The 21,272-nt window shown below is 35.8% G+C and overlaps 1 long non-coding RNA gene across 1 annotated transcript in view; it reads right to left on the minus strand.

Annotated features, from left to right (window-relative positions):
- Window positions 1-267: 267 nt before the first annotated feature.
- LINC02553 (long intergenic non-protein coding RNA 2553) overlaps window positions 268-21,272 on the minus strand; it is a 36,991-nt gene continuing 15,986 nt past the window's right edge. The window contains exon 2 of the long non-coding RNA XR_007062858.1: window positions 268-645. This is a non-coding gene — a long non-coding RNA (long intergenic non-protein coding RNA 2553). The remainder of the gene's footprint in view (window positions 646-21,272) is intronic.

A 21,272-nucleotide genomic window follows, 5' to 3' on the forward strand; every position in this document is an offset into this window, starting at 1 on the left:
CTGGTATCAACCAGACAGCAGCTAGTTTATTTTCTCAAGACTCCTGTGGTTTTCTTCCATATCATCACCATGGATTAATTTTAGTAAAGTGGTTTTAAATCTAGTATCTGTTATTTCTTCAGGCTTTATGTGCTAGCAGGATCATATTGACTATAAAGAATGGGCATTGCCTTTTAGGGATAAGCCTTGAATCTTTATTACTGCAAATGGATGCCTTGATACAGAATGTAAAACTTATGGGGTTATCTCAAAAGAAATACAACAGTCTCCTTAAATTGTAGTTTATTTGTTCAAATCTCTACTAAACAAAAGTATTCTTTTGAGGATTTTGATCATTGCATGTCACTCGAGACATTATTTGTTATTTGTATGTAATTTTGGCAATACATTTATTTACAAATAAAAACATGGACTTATATCTGTTTCATTCTTTTTTTTCAACTATTCACTCAGAGGTTAATGAAATCCTCTGAAAATATTTACTTAAGTACATGCTTAGTTGATAGACCACTTGTGAAAAGTCATTGGTATTCCATTTTGTAAATGATAATATCCTTTAAAAGTACCATGAAAGACCAGAGCAAAGGCTTCTAATATATTTCATGCAGGGCAAGATGATATGAAGGTTCTTTATGGAGGTCATACCTAAGGAAAATCACAGAGAATAATAGGAATTAGCCAGCTAAATAACGAGTAGGGAGAGGAAAGCATTTCAGAAAGACACATAAGCAAAGGTACTTGGTGGTGCCTATGGGTGTGGTGGTGGTAGTGGTGATGGTTTGGTGATGAGGACTATGAGTGGATAAGTAACTAAAAATGCTGGATTGATTGAATTTGGTGTATTGGTATGTATTGAGAGGTGGGCAGAGGAGGAGAACACGTATCTGTATTAAGGTTTTCAGAAGAAGGTAAATGAAAAGTTTAGTTCTAACATTACACTTTCCATAGTGTGTATTTAACAATAATTAATATTTATCTTGTATGTTACTGTTTGCCAGTGATCCCACTTGCATGAACCTGTTTACTACTGAGGAGAATCCTATGAGGCTGGGTCTAATATAGTTCGCATTTTGCCAGGACGACATTTATCAAGATCAGTTAACTGAAGTCACAGAATTTGTAGGAAAGAAAAGAGGGATTCATAAGGAGCAAATCTACTTCAAAGCCATCTCTGCCTCTGCCTACGTCAACAGCTGAACCTATATCAATGTCTGTACTTATATTCTTAGAATTTATACTAAAATAATGCTTCTTACACTGAGCAAGCATATGTCTTCCATAATGTAATCTGTAAGAGAAGATTGAAACTGCTTTTTTGAGTACGCTAGTTACTTGAGAGTGATCTTGAGCCCTTGGGTGGGAATAGCCAAGACAGGGAATTGATGGAATCATGCAGTTCTAAACATCTCAATTGGTGATGGAAACCAGATGCGCATTTCCTACTGGATCAGTGGCCACATCTTTTATTCAAGCAGCACATTAATAAGATGAAGGATGGGAGAGAAAGTCAGTACTCGCTGATTACATGTCCCTGAAAAACATAACATCCACAAGAATGGTTCAGTAAGCTGGCCTGGAAATGCCCTGCTCAGAGTAGTTTTAAAAATAATTTATAATATATGCATCTTCCTCTGTATTTGTACACAGTTTCATTTAAAGTCCATCCATTCATGTTGAATTATACTTTGAAGCCAGGTGATTTACTCCTGAAGCCAGTTGCCATGTAAAGAATAACTAATTTTAAAAAATAAACTCAGTAAAGTCCCTAACTGCACATGTGTATAGTTTGTAAATTCTACATGTAAAATTCTAGATACTAATACCACCTACACTCCACTAGTCAGAGGAATACTGTATGAGTGTATTCATTCTTTCCTTGTTTCTTTAAATCTTTTCCTTTGATCTAAAATCATTTGTCTGACAAGTCTCCACTGTTGATTCAGAGAAGACAGCATCAGGGTATGTTTTGCCTAGAGCTCTGCCTGTTCAAGATTATAAACATTCACGAGATAGTATCTTGAATTTCAAACAACAGGAGAAGCGGAAGATTGTGTATAAATTATACATATATACGGCTTGGTTTCTATCTCTGGAATACTAACCTATATAAATATGCAGCAATGAGTGATGCTAGAAATGTACCTGTCATAAAATGGGAGACAAATGCTTTCACATCTGTCATGGAAAGAGACATCTTATCAAGTGTCTCAATAACAATCTGGAGGAACACCAGAAAGTGATTTTGGCAGGGCTGAAATCCTATATCAACAGAGGCAGCCAGTGACATGAAACAGAAGTTCAAGCGTGACAGAAAAGTGGAACATACCTTGGGAGGCTTTTTTTGAAGTAATGTCGATAGTTAGACAAATTAGGGGTAATGATGGAAAGCTCTTCCCATGCCTGAAGGATAACTGAATTAAAGAGTCATAGACATTAGATGGAAAAGAGCTCCATTAAGGTCATCTCATTCATTGCCTGCCAGGAGAGGATTGTTCCCTAGAGCATATTCTATAGTACAATGGAATAATGTTTGAAAAAAAGAGACTAAAAAGTTTTGTTTTAGCCTAGGTAACCACTGCAAATCAGAAGCCCTCAAACCGCTCATCCTGTCTTCTACCCTAGTTAGCAAATTAAAGTGATTAATAGATCTGGAGACTTCAGGTGTAGATAACAAGACACTGTCTGTATCAAAGTCAAAGGGAAAAGGCATTGATTTAGTGAAAAGGTCTCAACAGGAATGGCATGAAAAACAGAAAAGTTACACACAAAGGAGCCCTTTCCCTAGGTGGAACCGAGGGTTCAGACGCCTGTAAGAGCTTACCCTTAGTATTATTTAAGCCACAGTTTGCAGGTCTCTGAAGTTTTGAAACCTTTAGCACAGCATTTTAGATAGAAGAAATTCTTTATTCTCTTACTTGGATACTGTGAGCCTATAATGAAAAGATCTCCTAAAGGTGTCCAGAACATTAAGACTTGAATAACTGAATGTGGGTCTCATAAAGGGCAATTGCTATGTCCTGATTCAATGCAGAGTATCCTGAGATCAGTGGTTAGGACTGAAATGAAAAGGGCAAAGTACAATGAAATGGGCCAGGGAGTGACATTCAGGAGTACAAGACCTGGCTCTAGCCTCAGTTTGCTTCTCCCAGGCTTTGTTTCCACATTTTCTCATTTTCATAATCTTTCCTTCATAGCTATTCGCATTGTAAGCCACAGAATCTCGAAAGCCAGATTCTTTCTCTAAAAAAAAGGCACATGATAAGAGGAGGGAGCAATGGAAAGTCTTTTCTTACTGAGATTTTTCAAGTCTCACTAGTTATGAATGTGTTTTGTACTTCAGGCTGTGTGTGAGAATGTGAGCCAGCACAACGTACATTAACTAGGTAATTGCACATCTCTCATCCTCAGTGAGCCAACTGGTTCTCAGGTTGTTAGAAAAGAGCAAAAGAGGGCATGATATGGAATGTTTCAGGATGCGATCTGGTAAATCTCTGTTCCAAAGGATCAGTTTACGGTAGACAGTTTTGTGTGGAGCATAGTTCTGCCTAGGCCCTTGCGGAGCATGAACTGGCTGTAGGGAAATGATGAGTGCATGTCCCTCAGTGAGAGATAGTAATCTCCACACATATTATGGTATTGCTGTTACGCTTCTCTTTGCATCAGATGACCAGATCTCACATCCCAGACTGTCACTGACTCACTGAGGAAAGTCACTCTCAGCTTTAGTTTCCCCTCCAGAAATGGAGATAATTACTAAAACGGCTGTGTATTTCCTCACTGTTTATAAATTTTATAAGCCATAAAATGCTATATTTAAACTTATTTTATTTGGAATTATTGTAAATTATGTGCCCCAGCTCATTTCCAATATTTTTGCTAGCAAAAGAGCTACTTTTTCTCTTTGTCAATCTGTTAATCCGGTCATGAATCAACTGTACTTCATTTACCCTGTGTTTATGTTGTGCTCAAAATAGTGCTAAGCATGGTATGTTGAACTTCAGTTTAAAACGTCCCTTACTTTTATATTCTCTGTAAAAACAGTGGACTACATATTTTCCTTTTGTAGGAATGTTTTATTTTTTATTTTAAGTTCTGGGATACATGTGCAGAGCGTGCAGGTTTGTTACATAGGTATACATGTGCCATAGTGGTTTGGTGCACCTATCAACCCGTCATCTAGGTTTTAAGCCCCACATGCATTAGGTATTTGTCCAAATGCTCTCCCTGTCCTTGTCCCTCACCCCCTGACGGGCCCCAGTGTGTGATGTTCCCCTCCCTGTGTCCATACGTTCTCATTGTTCCTTCATCTCTATATTTTGTGGAATTGAGCTAATTTTTGTTGATTATAGTTTCAGGGGTACATATTCAGGTTTGATACATGGGTATACTGAGTAATGGTAGGGTTTGGGCTTCTAGTAAACACATTGCCCAAATAGTGAACTTAGTACCCAACACATAGTTTTTCAATCCTTTGTCCTCTCCCTGCTTCCCTGCCTCCACATTTTTGAGTCCGCATTGTCTATTGTTTCTATCTTTATATCCATGGGTACTCATTGTTGAGCTCCCACTTGTAAGTGAGAATATGCAGTGCTTGATTTTCTGTTTGTGTTATTTCACTTAAGATAATGATATCTAGCTGCATTCGTTTGGTTGTAAATAATGTGATTTCGTTTCTTTTAATGGTTGCATGCTATTCCATTTATGTGTGTGTGTGTGTGTGTGTGTGTGTGTAGACACACATTTTCTTTAATCCACCGTTGGAGGCTTAGGTTGTTTCCATGATTTTTGTATTATAAATAGTGCTATGATAAACATCATAGGTGCAGATGACTTTTTGAAAGAATGCTTTTATATTTTTTCCTTTGGGTGATACCCAGTAGTAGGATTGCTGTGTCGAATGGTAGTTACATTTTTAGTTTTGTGAGAAATCTCTGTGCTGTTTTCCATAGGGGTTGAACTAATTTACATTCCCTCCAGCAGTGTATAAGCATTCCCTTTTCTCATTTTTGCCATCTGTTGGTACTTTCCTTTGTTTTTTTTTTTTTAAAGTAGCCATTCTGAAAGGTGTGAAATATATGATTGTGATTTCAATTTGTATTTATTTGATTAATGATATTAAGCATTGTTTGTTGGCTGCTTGAATGTCGTCTTTTTTTAATTTTACCTCTTCTTTTTTTTATTATACTTTAAGTTCTAGGGTACATGTGCACAACGTGCAGGTTTGTTACATATGTATACATGCACCATGTTGGTGTGCTGCACCCATTAACTCGTCATTTACATTAGGTATATCTCCTAATGCTATCTCTCCCTGCTCCCCCCACCCCATGACAGGCCCCAGTGTGTGAAGTTCCCCTTCGTCTTTTGAGAAGTATCCATTCATGTCTGTTGGCCACTTTTTAATTGTCCATTGACCAGTTTGTTTTATTCTTGTCGAATTAAGTTCCTTATAGATTCTGGGTATTAGACCTTTGTCAGATGCAAAGTTTGCAATTATTTTCTCCCATTCTGCGTGGTTGCCTGTTTACTCTGTTTCTTTCACTATGCACAAGCTCTGTAGTTTAGTTAACTCACATTTGTCTAATTTTGTTTCTGTTGCATTTGCTTTTGAAGTTTTAATCATAAATTTTCTTTCTAGGCCAATGTCCAGAAGAGTTTTTCCTAGGTTTTCTTCTATGATTTGTAAAGTGTCGGGTCTTAACTTGAAGTCTTGAATCTATCTTGAGTTAATTTTTGTATAAGGTGAGAGGTAGGGGTCCAGTTTCATTTTTCTTCATATGGCTATCCAGTTTTCTCAATACCACTTATTAAATATGATGTCCTTTCCCCATTGTTTATTTTTGTTGAGAATTGTACTATTTCTGAGAAATGTAATGAACCTTCTCTTTGAAGCCTTGTGATGCATATCTTTGGACTCTCCCTTCTCCTTTAAAAAGACACTCATTTTGCTCCTTAATTTTAGAAGGACATTTGACTATCTCTATGTGTCATAATTCTATTAATCCAAGTTAAAATTATCTCATGAAGCTTTATTAGATGAATTTGCAATAAGAACTTAGAATATAAAGTCAGAAGACATAAGTTTGAATATCAAGCTGGGTCTCATTGACAGTACAAATTTGGGCAAGCTGCTTCGACTTTCAAAACCTTTCTCTTTTAGGAAAATGAGAGTGACAGTAGCAACTACATCATGGACAACATGAGATAATGTATTTTAAAGTATTGTGCAAAGAGTTGGTTGCCAAATGAGTGCCCAATAATATTACAGTTGTAGGAATGTGTTTTCCTCTATAAAGTCAGGCTTTTACATCCATGGATTCCACATCTGTGGATGCAACCAACAATACATCGAAAATATTCAGAAAAAAATTCCACAAAGTTCCAAAAAGCAAAACTTGAATTTGCTACACATGGAGCAATATGTTGAATCCACATGAATAAAGTTATGTACAGGCATTGCATTAGATTTTGTAAGTAATCTAGAGATGATTTAGAGGATACAGGAGGATTACCTAGGTTATATGCAACTACTATGGACTTTGAATGTAGTACTTGACTATAAGACTTGAGCCTCTGCAATTTGGGTATCTGCAGGGGCTGAGGGATAGGAAGGAGGGACCTGAATCCAATCCCTCACAGATATGAGGAATAACTATACTGTATTTCACCACTATTTAATTGTAGCATATATATACACACATATACATATATGCCTTCTGTCTTATAAATTGAAAAGATGTAAGTATCAACACAGTATTAAAGTCCAGGGAATTATAATATTATCCTGCATTTGCCATATGCTGAACTATGATCTTGGCAATGAATATACTTTATTTTAATGCTTAAAGTTGCCTGATGTGAAATTTCAGCTATGCTAACCATGTCATAGATACAGAAATTAAAGATAGAGATACTTTTCATATAAGAAAGTTCTTAAATATTTGTGCACGTCGAATATTTCCAAACCAAGCAGTAACAATTCCATTTGAAATAATGATCTTTTGGAGCCAGTCTAATATGGAGACAGACAATATTTACCACTTTGATCTATGATGCATGTGTTATTATTAGTCTTTTGAGATTCACATTAAATGACTGTTTTCAGTGGATGGATGATATTTACCTCTGTAATTGTATAAAAGTGAAGGAGAGAATGAGAAAATGAAAGCCAGATATTAGAAAAATATTCTGCTTTCAGTTGAGCTTGGAAACAGAGAGCTAATGAGATGGAGAATAATAAGAAAGACTATTCCAGACAACAGGAGTTCAGGGGAGACATTCCATTTACCAATATCAAAGTAATTAGTGGAGGGCTGGGATTGAATGAGAGGCAATTATAGATTACAGATTTGCATCAGGAAAACAAGAAGTCCCTCTTAAGTTTAAAAACAAGAAAATATATGTTAGGAACAAATCCTTTAGTGAAGAGATAGTGAATAGAATCGCCAGAGGAAGAGGGAATGGCTGTTGTGTGTACAGGTGTGGGCGTGCTAGCTTCTGAGATCAGCTTCACGTCGTACATCATGGAATGTGAAAATATGAACCCTGACAAGCTATTACAAAAGTGAACTGAGTAATTCAATTGAGAAGCAATAAAGGTATGGATAAGAAGTGAAGCAGAGATGCAACTGCGACACAGTGGTATATATGGACAGATTTGCAGAAGGGGTTTTAATGGGTTTTTAATGTGTTTGTCAAAGCTGTGAAAATCTTGGCATGTTGCCCCAAATCATCAAGGATCCATGCAAGTAGGTCGGAGGGAAGGCTTAAGACAGATAGTTAGATGAACAGCATGGGGCATGCCATCAGCAGCTGAAGGGAAAATAAAGTTTATTAATTAGGGGAATTAATTGGATAGCTGTGATTTTTGCCTTATGTGGTCAAAATAGATTGAGAAAACAGACTGTAAAGTGTATACAATTGAGTAGCTGAGCTTAAAATAGAATCTTGTAACGGAACCAAAGTAATGAGATGGAAAATGGCAAAGACCAGGAGGTATGGATCTCATTCTACACTATCTGAAACTGTCACATTTATAAGGTATTATTAAGAATTCTTGTTTCTTAGAGACTTTAGTTCAAATCAATCCATTAAAAGGATTGGCCAGTTGCTTGGTGGCTGATGTAAATTAAATGCTATTTCAATGTAAAATGGCAGCTCTTAAACAGATCTTATTAAGTGTATCTATGATAATGAATTTCTTCTGACCAAATTTAGCAGCCTTTTCTCTCTTAAACTTTTAAAACCTCAGAGTAGTCTCGACAAATATGGTTTTTTTTTTTTTTTACTGTGATTTACTTCTTGAGTTTTCCTAAGAGTTCTCTGAAACTTTATTTTTTCTAGTGTAAGTTTCTGAAACAAAATCACTGAGATCTCTATTTTTGTTTTTCTATCTACTTTCATTTTAAGAGTTTATTATTGGCCGGGCGCGGTGGCTCACGCCTGTAATCCCAGCACTTTGGGAGGCCGAGGCGGGCGGATCACGAGGTCAGGAGATCGAGACCATCCCGGCTAAAACGGTGAAACCCCGTCTCTACTAAAAATACAAAAAATTAGCCGGGCGTAGTGGCGGGCGCCTGTAGTCCCAGCTACTTGGGAGGCTGAGGCAGGAGAATGGCGTGAACCCGGGAGGAGGAGCTTGCAGTGAGCCGAGATCCCGCCACTGCACTCCAGCCTGGGCGACAGAGCGAGACTCCGTCTCAAAAAAAAAAAAAAAAAAAAAAAAAAAAAAAAAAAAAGAGTTTATTATTTTACTTAATTTCTAACTTAGGGTGTCCATTCAATTTCTGTTGTACAATCAATAAAGCATCAATTCAAATAATCTTTTCATTAGATTTGAAGTTAAATTAATAATAATTAAAATACCCTGTTATTTTACAGTTAACAAAGCACTTTCTTGTATGTTACATAATACTATAAATCTGTATACTAGATGTGATTCTCACAGATTTGGACTGGGTATGTGACTTGTTTGTCTTAAGATTACTTGTGGAGCTTAGGCTTTTGCATTTTGACTGTCAGTTCCATATTTTTTCCAAATTCAACATATTAAAGTACTTAAGCTCATATTCCATGCCAGAAACTATGCTAGCAGCTGAACTATGAAATATTTTGGTCCCAAACTCATTTGAGTTTGTGGTATAATGGGAAGGAATAACAGTTTTGAATCTGTATGACAAGAGTTTTGCTAGAGTTAAATAGGGAAGCAATGGAATTAAGACAGAGGAGCAACTACAGTCAAGATAAGGATAATGAGAGAGTTTCTATCGGGAGACTTATTCTGCCTGGGTTAGAGAGTATGAATAAAAGATTAAATTATTTATAGTCATAAGTCATAAACATATGCAGTGTTGTGGAAGTGTGGAGGGCATATGTGATGGTTAATATATAATATCAACTTACTTGGATTGAAGGATGCAAAGTATTGTTCCTGGGTGTCTGTAAGGGTATTGCCAAAGGAGATTAATATTTGAGTCAGTGGACTGGGAGAGGAAGACCCACCCTCAATCTGGGTGGGCACCAACTAATCAGCTACCACCTGACTAATACAGTACAGAAAGAGGAAATTTAACATGGCTAGGATAAAAACAGGCAGAGGAATGTGGAAGGACTAGACTGGCTGAGTCTTCCAGCCTTCATCTTTCTCTCATGCTGGATACTTCCTGCACTTGAATATTGGACTCCAAGTACTTCAGCTTTTGGACTCTTGGACTTAAAGCAGTGGTTTCCCAGGGGCTCTCGGGCCTTCGGCCACAGACTGGAGGCTGCAATGTAAACTTCCCTGTCTTTGAGGTTTTGGTATTGGGACTGGCTTCCTTGCTCCTCAGCTTACAGATGGCCTATTGTGGGACTTCACCTTGTGCTTGTGACTCCTTAATAAATGCCCCTTCATATGTACATCTATCCTATGAGTCCTATCCCTCTAGAGAACCCTGACCAATACAGTATATAAAGACGAAATTTTACATATTACAGCATGAATGAAAGCAGATTGCAAGAGAGAAGGGACGAGACATAAACATGGGAATATATCATGTGTTTAGAGCTTTCAGCCATTGATTTTCTTTTAGCATTTGTGTTTTTGCCATTTCCCTTCCATTGCACAATGTCCTCATGTGACTTGTTTGCTAATTTGAAAATTATCATAGCATATACAGGACTTTTTTGCATACTGGGTACTTGGGAATAGTTATCAACTGACAAAGTCAGGTTTTGACTCCTAATCCTTGGACTCTGCTTCTCTATATATGTAATATGTAGCCATTTGGGTGCAACATTTAAAGAGTATCATAAGTACTTTAATAGCTGCCAATACTAGCTATTAATAATGGGCTAGATTTGCATTTCTTCTCTCTATCCTCTCCTCTGTCAAGTATAGATCTGCTAATCAAGTACAAAACATATTATCTGAGAGAAAATGACTATAAAAGCAGCATTCTGTCCACCTATTATTGGGTGGCAAAAATTCAGAGAGTAGGTCTATGGATGAATAAGTAACACAAAGCAAATTAACACAATCTCTGCTCTAGAAAAGGAAGGATTTTCATTTTTGGTGAAAAACTATGACAGTGAGTCAATCTAGATGAATTTGAGAACACAATTGGTTTTAGAGAAATAACATACCTTTTGATTTATCTTAGCCTACAGAAACTTATAAGGATGTTGATGAAAAATATCATTACCTTGCCAACTTCTCCTCTCAATTTTCCAAATACTAATACTGAGTTAGAAATCAGACTTTCGAATCTCATATATATTTCATTAATATTGAGCCTCTTGGCAGAGATCAGTTTTATACAAAAAGGGTATAGATTAAAAACAGTTTAGGGGCCTTTCAAATTCATTTTCATTTAGTAAGGTAACTTGTATCAAGAGTAATTTTCTGACCCACCAGAAATTTTAATCACTAGTTTTAGACAGGGTCTGGCTCTGTTGCTCAGGCTGGAGTGCAGTGGTGCAATCTCAGCTCATGGCAGTCTCCGCCTCCCGGGCTCAAGCCATCCTCCCACCTCAGCCACCATGCCCTGATAATTTTTGTACTTTTTGTAGAGACAGGGTTTCACCATGTTTCCCAGGCTGGTCTCAAACTCCTGGTCTCAAGCGATCTGCCTGCCTTGGCCTCCCAAAGTGCTTGGATTAGAGATGTGAGCCACTGCACCTGGCAGCACTTTTTTGGATTATGTTATAAAGTTCAAATTCCTCAGCTTTATATTCAAGGCTCATGATGTTCTTTCCAAACAGAATTATTGAGAATTAGTCTACTCATAATACTTTATGCATATGATCAACCTTCATCTAAAAATGAAGATATTAATACATACTTTCCATACGCCAAATGCTAGTCATACACTGTAACCTCTAAAGAGAGCTCTAGTTATGCCATCACCCCAATTTCAACCCCATAACTGAAGAAAAATGAATCACTCAAGTACACCCATTTTTCTACCATTGTACAAAGTGAATATTTAATTAGCAACAATAAATGACTTATAAGCGGAATCAAACTAGGGCAAGTGATTCTATTGATTCATCTTTTCTCTGTTTCTATATCACTTGAGAGTTCTCCCAGTCATTAGAAGGACAAGTAAAACCAGAGTGCAGCCCAGAGGAAAGAAAATATTGAGTGGATAAATCAGTGCAGGTCTATAATAGTCAAGAACACTGGCTGTGGGGTTGGATACATCTGGTTGTAAATGGCATTTCTGCTTTTAGTAGTTTTTTGGCTGCGAGCAAGCCTTTCTAAGTTTCTAACCTCTCCAAGCGTCAGTTTTACATTTTAAAATAATTTAAAAACTTTGACCAGTATTATGGAAGAAAAGTTATGTGTTTATGTTGGCTGTGTGCCAGGAACTGTAATATGGACTTAATAGTATCCACTTCAATGCTTGCAACAACCCACAGAAGTGGGCATCAGAATTGTGTTTGTTTAACATGCATCACAAACTAGCGGGATGAGCCAGTGATGTCCACTCATATGAAATATCAAAATATTCTCCTTTTTGAGGGAAGTAGATACCAGTCATAATGAGATTTTACTTCAAAAAAGTTTAGTAACATACAAGAACAGAAATAGAAACCTAAATGTTTAGAGAACTTTTATTCATTTACCATTTATTCATTTAAATACTGATATGAAACCATAATATTAAAGGAAAAATGAACTGTAGAACCTTGATCCTGTGTAATTATTAATTATAATTTCTCTCACCTGTAAAAGGCTTTACCTAAGTATCTTTATACCCAGTTTTATGAGTAAACACTCTAGTTGAAACAGAAAATATGAGTATTTTGGTATATTACTTAGGAATTAGGAAAGACACAGGTATACTCATATAGGGTAAAAAGAACAGGATAGAAAGGAGAAAGAAGAGTGAGGTTTATGAAAGTAGGTGAAGGAGAATGAGGTCAAGAGGGGAAAAAACAGAAAAGTGGAATTAGCATTAGTTAAAAAGGTCTGGAGTCCAGCAAGTAGTATGAGGAGTTAAGCAGCAGTGAAAAAGTGTTTAATTTCAGAGAAAGAATAGAGTGAAAGGGAAATGGCAGAATAAGGGCAAGAGAACGTAAAGACTCTTATCAAGACACCGATGAGAATTCCTAAAATAAAAAATGTGACCTAGAATCAATTGGTATTTTTAGTTTAATGGTTACCTGAGAAAAATGCTACTGACAATTGTTGAATAAAGGTCACTCAATATTTAATTTTGGAATCCCTTTTAAAATTTATTTTGAATCTGGAATTTTTTAGAAATCTAATATTGATTAAAGCATGACTTGTAATTAGCATCAAGTATTTTGTGAGTTTTAAGTATGCCAATTGATGGTACACATTTAGCACGCTACTCTCAACTTCTCGTAAGTCACTCCTTATTTGAAAACATGCCCATTCACACACACACACAAAAAAAATCACAATGCCTTGTTTCCTGGATATTTAAAATTCTAATAATTTTAGAGATCATGTAAAGTAGTCATGGGTAAAAATGAAGCTACAGTAACTATAAAAATGCAAATCCCACTGGTTATTTCCCTATGTGGCTCTTGTAGAATGTCAAATATTTATGAAGGCCTTGGAGGGTGTCTTCCATGTACATGGAGGCATCTTATGTCTTGCAGGTTGCAGCTGCTGCTTCCCTACCTTCCTCTGCAGACCCACTGGAAATCTCCATGTCCTCCTGTCACCTCTTCTCTTGCTACACCATAGGCCATGAAACTTTCAAAATGTTAAAGTTGTACTGTGTTCCAGTATGAGGTAGGCAAAAATTCCTTTCTCATAATTTCTTCCACTTCAGTTAGAGAGCTGATCAATAAGTACTGCTTGTTCCACAATAAATATTAAAGTTTTGGAAAACTTTAGTTTGATTTTTATTTTCACTTTATTTCTGCTTCTGTATTCCTACTTTTCTGCATTTTGTCAGATAAATCTCTTGAGAATCATCAGGCTGTTTTTAGCTTCACCTGGAGGATAGACCTTTATTCCTTGGTCAAACTTATTGAGACTTTATTTTCTCTGATTGATTTTATTCTCAGAAAACCCACTGATATTGCATGAAAATAAACTTCTGGCCAGTTCATTCAGCCAGCTTGCCAGCCCAGCCCAGCAGAGGTTCAAGCTGAGATTTCTGCTATGGTTTAAAGAAAAGTGATGATGGTAGTGATGATAAATTTTAACCAAGAGCTTTGCCTGTGTCAACAGTGTTTCAAAGATACATATGAGTGCAAAAATTTTAGAGGCAGAAACAATATTTTTTCGATTTTTATGTTTTAAGCAGAAAATAATCTTTATTTTTTCTTGTCTCAAGCCATTTACTTTTGGCTAGTTTATCCATACACTATGTAAAGGCCAAGTATACAACACCTGTTTAGAAAATTGCCCTGGAGCGTTCCCTGTTTTCACCCAGTGCATTTCAATGATTCTGACCTCCCTCCCTTTCAAATTTTGGATTCAATTCTTGCTTCGAAATCTGCTTTAAATTTTAACAACAATTTCACTCTTCTACATTTGACTTAATAGTTTTTACCTTCCTACCTGGATTTTGGCTTGCTCTGCTGATTTTGTTATTCCTACATTTTTATGGAAGAAAAAACAAATATTAATAACTCTTTCCTCTTCCATCCTTAGTTCCTCAACTTCACTGCCAGTGGCCTGGAGAAAAAGGGTGAGATAGTAGTTTACAAAATAATTAAACCGCCTAAATTAGTAGGTAATAAAGTCAGATTCTAGGACGGTTATAGGATTTTTCCAGAGTGTTTAGATGCCAAACTCCATGAAGGTAAAAACTATTGTCACTAATTATTTGTATCTTCTAATGAGTCAACAGTTTACTCACAGATAAGGTAACCTTATTCAATTTGAAATTGACAGAAATTATTAGTGGTAAAACCAAGACATGAGATTTGGGTGGGGACACAGCCAAACCATTATCGGTGAGTAAGGAAGATTTAGGGTTAACTGGCCTCATTTGAGCATGAATCAATTAAAAATTGTGATAGAGCAGGGACAAGCATATCTGACATCCCATGGCATGTAGGAATGAAATATCTAATTGAGCTGTCACCTCTACTCAGCTGGAATAAAATGCCTGATGAAGGTATCACTTTCAGGGTTTAAGTTACTTTTGACCTTAGAACAGAATGAGGGCATGAAGAGTACAAAAGCTATGCAGTAGAATCCTGTTTTTAATAGCATTAAACAAGTTAGATAAAATGACAAATACAAGAGCCTAAATTCTCAATTTATAGCAGAGACTAAAACTGAAGGATTTTCTATGACTGTACAAGAAAAATATAAGAAAAAAAAGCTCTTACCTGGTTATTACATTGAAAATACATGTTAATTCTGTAAAATTTCAAATTTTAATGTCTGATTCATAAATTCACAGATATTTAAAGTGAAAATATGACACTGACGATAAATGAGTAGATCATTGATAATTATGACAGAAAGAAAGATTTCAAGGACTTTCAGTTCCCTTTCTAACCAGTATGAGCATCCGTTATTGGATGAAGCAGTACCTTCTCTCCTATCACATCAGATTCTTACCTCCTTTCTGGCAGATGCTATAATTTCTTTATTTTAGCAAGTTTCTTACAAAAGAGAGTGGATTTTTTCTCATGTTACAGACCTCAAGTCCTCATTTCTCCTAAATTACTTGGGACTCAACATGCTTTATATTTCCAGTCACAAAGTCAAACTCTTGCAGAGAATTCTTATACATTAAAATAATTGCAGGACCTTTCCAATTTATATCAGCAGATATCAGAGAAATATCTAGAAATTGATACCGATTTATTTTTATTGCAAAATAATTTAATTTTAGATTGAGATAATTTGCTATTATGTTCAAGGAGTAATTCTAACTATTCATTTAATTGGATTGTAGTTTAGATGTAAAGAAACTATGCTAACTAAAGATAAATGCCAGAAACATTTCAGTAAAATTAGCAGTGATTTCACAAATTTTAGTGTTCTTCAGAATATCTTTGTTAATAGATATTCTCAGAATCTATTATGGAAAATCTAATTTATTAAGAACAGACTGAGGTTTAGAAATAGGCATTTTAATGAGCATTTCATAGAATTATGTGGTTAGAGGATCAAACTTTGAAATCAATCAAATGTTTGGTAATAGGAATGTTTACACAATGTGTTTTACAGGTGATCAACCTGTATATATCCCATATTTTTTTCCCTGAGAGTAGCTAGAAGATAGTTTTCTTTGAGAAATACAGTGGTGAAAGAGTCTTGAGACGCTTTGAAAATGTCTTGGTCACTTTTCTCTGTACACTGTAAATTCTGGTTAGAGATGCTTCAGATCTGATTTCATTAGCAATGGGAGGATTCTGTTGTTTCAGACATAAGGGAAGTCCCTTCAGTTAGCAAATGTAAAGTGGCATAATTGTCTGCATGTATGGCAGGTCCCACAGAGACACCAGAATAGTTTCGTCCGTAGTGAACATCTCAAGGACCATAGTAGTTAAGAAGTTGACTGAAATTTTACCTCATTTGTATGACACGTGTCCCCTAAACAAAATTGGACTGCTTTGACTCACCATAATAAAAAGTTGCATCACACCAAAATCCCACATTCTTATTCTCTACAAAAAGGAATGTTGAATATTATAGAACCAGTAATAACATCATAAATACATTCAGTGAGTCTTCCTCACAGCTCACTTCAGAGAGCATTATCACTATTTACCAAGGTAACTGTGCTCTAAATTAGGCTCATTTTAGGAATTTTTCTAATTTATTTTCTCCATCTTGGAACCCAGAATGCTACTGCAGAATTTTAGTATTATGGATGTCTATGGAGTCAGCCAAAACAACAGTGTTTCCAAATATTTGTACGGTTTTTGAAGTGTCTGCTCAAATCAGCACCATGTTTATTATCTCAATATCTGGGTATATGTTTGGAATTGATATCTCAACATCATGCAGAATCTCCATTGTTCTCCCTCCACTACCTATGGGGTAATACCTGTTGTAGTAGGAAGAGCCAAGAGGAAGCCCCTGGAGCTCTCTGTACCTAGAAAAACAATAAAGAACACCACGCTATACTGGTTGAGTGGCAGATACTAATGTTACCACAAATTGAAAGTTGTAGGCAGATGATGCTTATTCTATTTAAATTTCTGGTTTGACCTGTGTAGACAGCAGGTAGTCACAAGATATGGACTGGGGAAGGTAGATTGCTATAGGAAACATTACTGTTGAAATGGAGAACAGCAGCCAGACCTATTTTTCTAGAATACACAAAGGTGTTCCCTATTACAGTGTACAGCCACTTTACTCTAGACTTCCTAGTAGCCACTTTGTATATCTCTTGGGTGATATTTATTATTGCTGTGTTTTTCTGAGGTAAGATTGTCTTGGAGAATCCTCAGTCCAGGGCTTGGTATTTCATGTACCATTCATTGAGGAAAGGTGTAGGGCCTCAGACAAAATCCTGAAACTGAGAAGAAATTCCTGTCTTTCACTGTACTTTAGGCTTGGTTGTTGAAGAATAAAATGGTGTAGAAAGTACTGGAAATCAGGGGAAAGAAGGACTTGTTCACAGGAGAGGACAAATTGGTAACTTGGAAGGGTGTCTGCCTTACAGAGGACCACATGTTCTAGATGAATAAACTAGATGAATGAAATATACCTGTACACTAGAGGACATGGTATATTAAGTTTCTTTCTGCAAGCTTTTTCGTTGTTATTTCTGATTCTTTCAAAGCTGTTTTCATTTTCCATCTGAGGTCTTCCCCACTTCCTACCCATGAGGATAATGCAGTAGCTACCACATTGTCTACCTAAAAATATCTGGAGGATAACTTAATCATATAGTAGGAGTGGAAAACAACACCAGAAATTGATACCCTCAAAATGTGGAGGAAGGGGAGTTAGGTCAGATATTATCAGAATCTAGGATTGCATCTTAGTTTAGTAACTTTTAAAGTAATTCTTATACTCTTTCCACCATCCCTATGTCCCAGATACTTGCCTCACTGGAGTGGTACAGAAAAGGGAGGCTAATGCTTTCCTAAACAAGTCAGAGTGTTAAGTGGCTTGCAAACTTTCTCCTTAAACCAGCAGGATAGTAGCTGATACTTACAAAGTATCCTTATGTCAGCTAGGGTTCAACCACTGAAACAGAACCAGTAAAAAATATACATGTTAAGAGATTTATTAAAAAAAACTGGCTTACATTTGTGAAGGCTGGCAAGGCAACTTGTATTTATTTGTAGACCAACTGAAATTGTAGAGAAGACTGTCAGGGCAGGCTAGAACTCTAAAGCAAGGGCTTGACATGCTGTCTATCCTCAGAATCTAATCCTCATAAAAGCCTTGGTTCTGCTCTTAGCGTATTTCAATTGATTGAATTAGGTCTACCGAGATTATTTAGTATAATATTCTTAGAGTCAATTAACTATGGATTTGAATCATATCCACAAATACCTTTACATCAACACCTAGATTAGTGTTTGCTTGAATAGTGGGACTACAGTTTAGACAAGTTGACACATAATCCTGACCCTCACAATCCCCAAATTGAACCTTGGCAACAAGTATGATTCCACATTTCCTTATGTGGAGATTTTCATTGCCAACATTAGCTGAAGGGTTTTGATTGATGAAGATTTAGAGTAAGGGTTTTGTCCCCCCCATACTATATTTTGTTTGTAGGAAAGTATCTACAGTTTGTAACATTTGATTTAGTGCACTTAATTATATTTTGAAGGAAAAAGAAATCTGGAATAAGAGGTCCAGAAGATTTAAATAACAGACCCAGAGCAATTTCCCAGGTAGATGAACCAGATCATTTAATAGCACTGGTTTATATGACTTCCTATAATTTAGTGTATAAAAAAATGCCCATTATAGAAATTCATTAGGGTTGTTTGAACGTATAAAGTGGTTGATTCAACGTTTCTGAGTTTTGCTTCCCCGTTGTTCTCAGCATAAAGGGGTCCAAGTACTTAAATAAAAAATTCATGGCTTTCTGTATTACAGGTTTTATGTTGTGTGACTCTGCCACATAATGATATACTGTTAATGTCTAAAAATCTCGTAGCACTAATTTCTTTATAAATTAAGTCATAATCATTTAAATTGAAACTAACTACTTATACTCTTTCCTTACCTAACTCTTAAAGATGTGACACCGGACTATGGCAATACCAAGGTGTTCAATTTACACCATGCTAATGAAGCTTAGAGGTTTTGTTAGAAAGTTGATGTTCTCAATGCCACCAGCTGTAGTTCCAAGAACAGGGAAGTGATTCCTGGGCTATGTTCTGTTAAAGGTATAATAATTATTACCTTGTGAACATTAATGTCTAAATATTCTCTGTAGGAAGTTGATGATCGTAGGGCAGGGTGAAAGAAACCTTAAAAATATTTTTGGAATCCATCCACTTTACTCTCTCTCCACAGCCTTCACCCTTATCAAATCCACATTCATCTCTCAGCTGAGCTACTGCCTTCTCACTCTTACCTTTGCATCCACTAAAATTTAAATACGATCATGCGAATACTGTCCAGAGTTGTTAGAATAAAGGCCAATATCTTCAACATAAATTTAAAACACTTGCTTGATTTGGCTCCCTTCTCCTTCTGAAATTTTACCTTGCCAATGCCCATTTAAGATAAGTTGGCCTCTTGTTAGCGATGTACTTTTCTTTATAGTAGAAGTTTGCATGCAAAAACTACTAGATCATAAATACCTCAAGGAAAATCATCCAAAATTACAAACAAATATCACATGTATGTCACATTCAGATACATCCTATTGAGTATGTTATTTTCAATTTCATCCTGTGTGGAGGACTGTGCAAAGATTGAATTAATCATACCCTTCAGTTTATGACATACATCTTCATTACGTCTTAAATGTCTTATTTTTCTTGTTTAGCTCTCTCTTCCATTTTTTTTGCCCCAATAGAAGACTATTCAATGTGTTGTTATGCATTTTTTAATCTGTCAGTCAATCTGTCTAGATCTATCTAGTATCATTGAATCTATAGTAATATATAGGGCTTTTTTCATGTCTGTATTTTTTAATTTTATAATGATATGATTTAATACTCTTTTGCCTTTTAAGACTTTTCAGTTTTTTAAATTTTTAAATTTGTCTATATTTAGGGGGTACAAGTGCAGATTTTTCATAAGCATATAAATGGGTAGTGGTGGGCTTTTAGTGTACTCATCACCCAAATAGTGAACATTGTACTGAACAGGTAATTTTCAATCCTTATCCCTGTCCTCCAATCCCACCTTTTATAGTCTCAAATGTATATTACTCTATTCTGTATGTTCATGTGTACCCATTACCATCTCCAACTTATAAGTAAGAACACACGGTATTTGACTTTGTTATTTCACTTATGATAATGGCCTCCAGTTTCATCATGTTGCTACAAAATACATTATTTTATGTTTTATGGCAGAGTAGTATTCCATGGTGTGTGTGTTGGGGGTATGTGTGTATATATGAGAAAATGTGATATATCCAATCATCTGTCCAATGGACATTTAGGTTGATTCTATATCTTTGCTATTGTGAATAGTGGTGTGATAAACATGTAAGTGCAGATATCTTTTCGATATAATGATTTTTTTCCCCTTTGGGTATATACCCAGTAGTGGGATTGCTGGGTCAAATTATAGTTCAATTTTAAGTTTTTGGAGAAATCTTCATAGTGTTTTTCATGAAGTTGTACTAATTTACATTACTACCCACAGTATATAATCCTTCCCTTTTCTCTTCAACCTCACCAACTCTTATTTTCTGACTTTTAAGATAATAGTTCTTCTGACTTATGTGAGACAGTTTATCTTTGTAGTCTTAATTTGCATTTCTTCAATAATTAGTGATGTTGAGTATTTTTTCATGTTGGCCACTTTTATGTCTGAAGTGGTGGACAGTGCCTACTTTTTACTGGGGTTATTTGTTTTTTTGCTTGTTGAGTTCCTTGTAGAATCTAGTTATTAGACCTTTTATGGATATATAATTTGCAAATATTTTTTCCAATTCTGTGAGTTGTCTGTTTACTCTGTTGATTCTTTTTTACTGTGTTTAATCTCTTTAAGCTCCATTCATCTATTTTTGTTTTTGTTACATTTGCATTTGAGGATTTGGTAATACTCTTTGCCTAGGCCAATGTCCAGGAGATTTTCCTAGATTTTCTTCTAGAAATTTTACAGTTTCAAGTCTTACATTTAGGTTGTTTGGGGTTAATTTTTGCATATAATGAGAAGTATGGGTCTAGTTTGATCATTCTGCATATAGCATATGACTTCCCAATTTTTACAGCACCATCTGTTGAACAAGGTATCCTTTTCCCAGTGCATATTTTTTATGACTTTGTCAAAGATCACTTGGTTGCAGGTATGTGGATTTTGTTTCTGGGATCTCTGTTCTGTTTCATTGATCTATGTATGTTTCTTGTACAAGTGCCCTACTGTTTTGATTACTATAGCCTTGTAGTATAATTTGAAGTCAGGTAATGTACAGACTCCAGCTTTGTTCTTTTTGCTTAGGATTTCTTTTGCTATTCAGGAGCAAGAAATCATATTTGGTTCCATATGAATTTTAGGATTTTTTTTCTAAATCTGTGAAATGCAACATTAGTAATTTTATAGGGATTGCATTGAATCTGTAGATTGCATTGGGCAATGTGGTCATTTTACCAATATTGATTCTTCTGATCTATGATCATGGGATATTTTTCCATTTGTTTGTGCCATCTATGGTTTTCTTCATTAGTGATTTATAATTCTCCTTATA

This window comes from Homo sapiens, chromosome 11 (assembly GCF_000001405.40).
Source record: "Homo sapiens chromosome 11, GRCh38.p14 Primary Assembly".
Classification (NCBI taxonomy): Eukaryota; Metazoa; Chordata; class Mammalia; order Primates; family Hominidae; genus Homo; species Homo sapiens.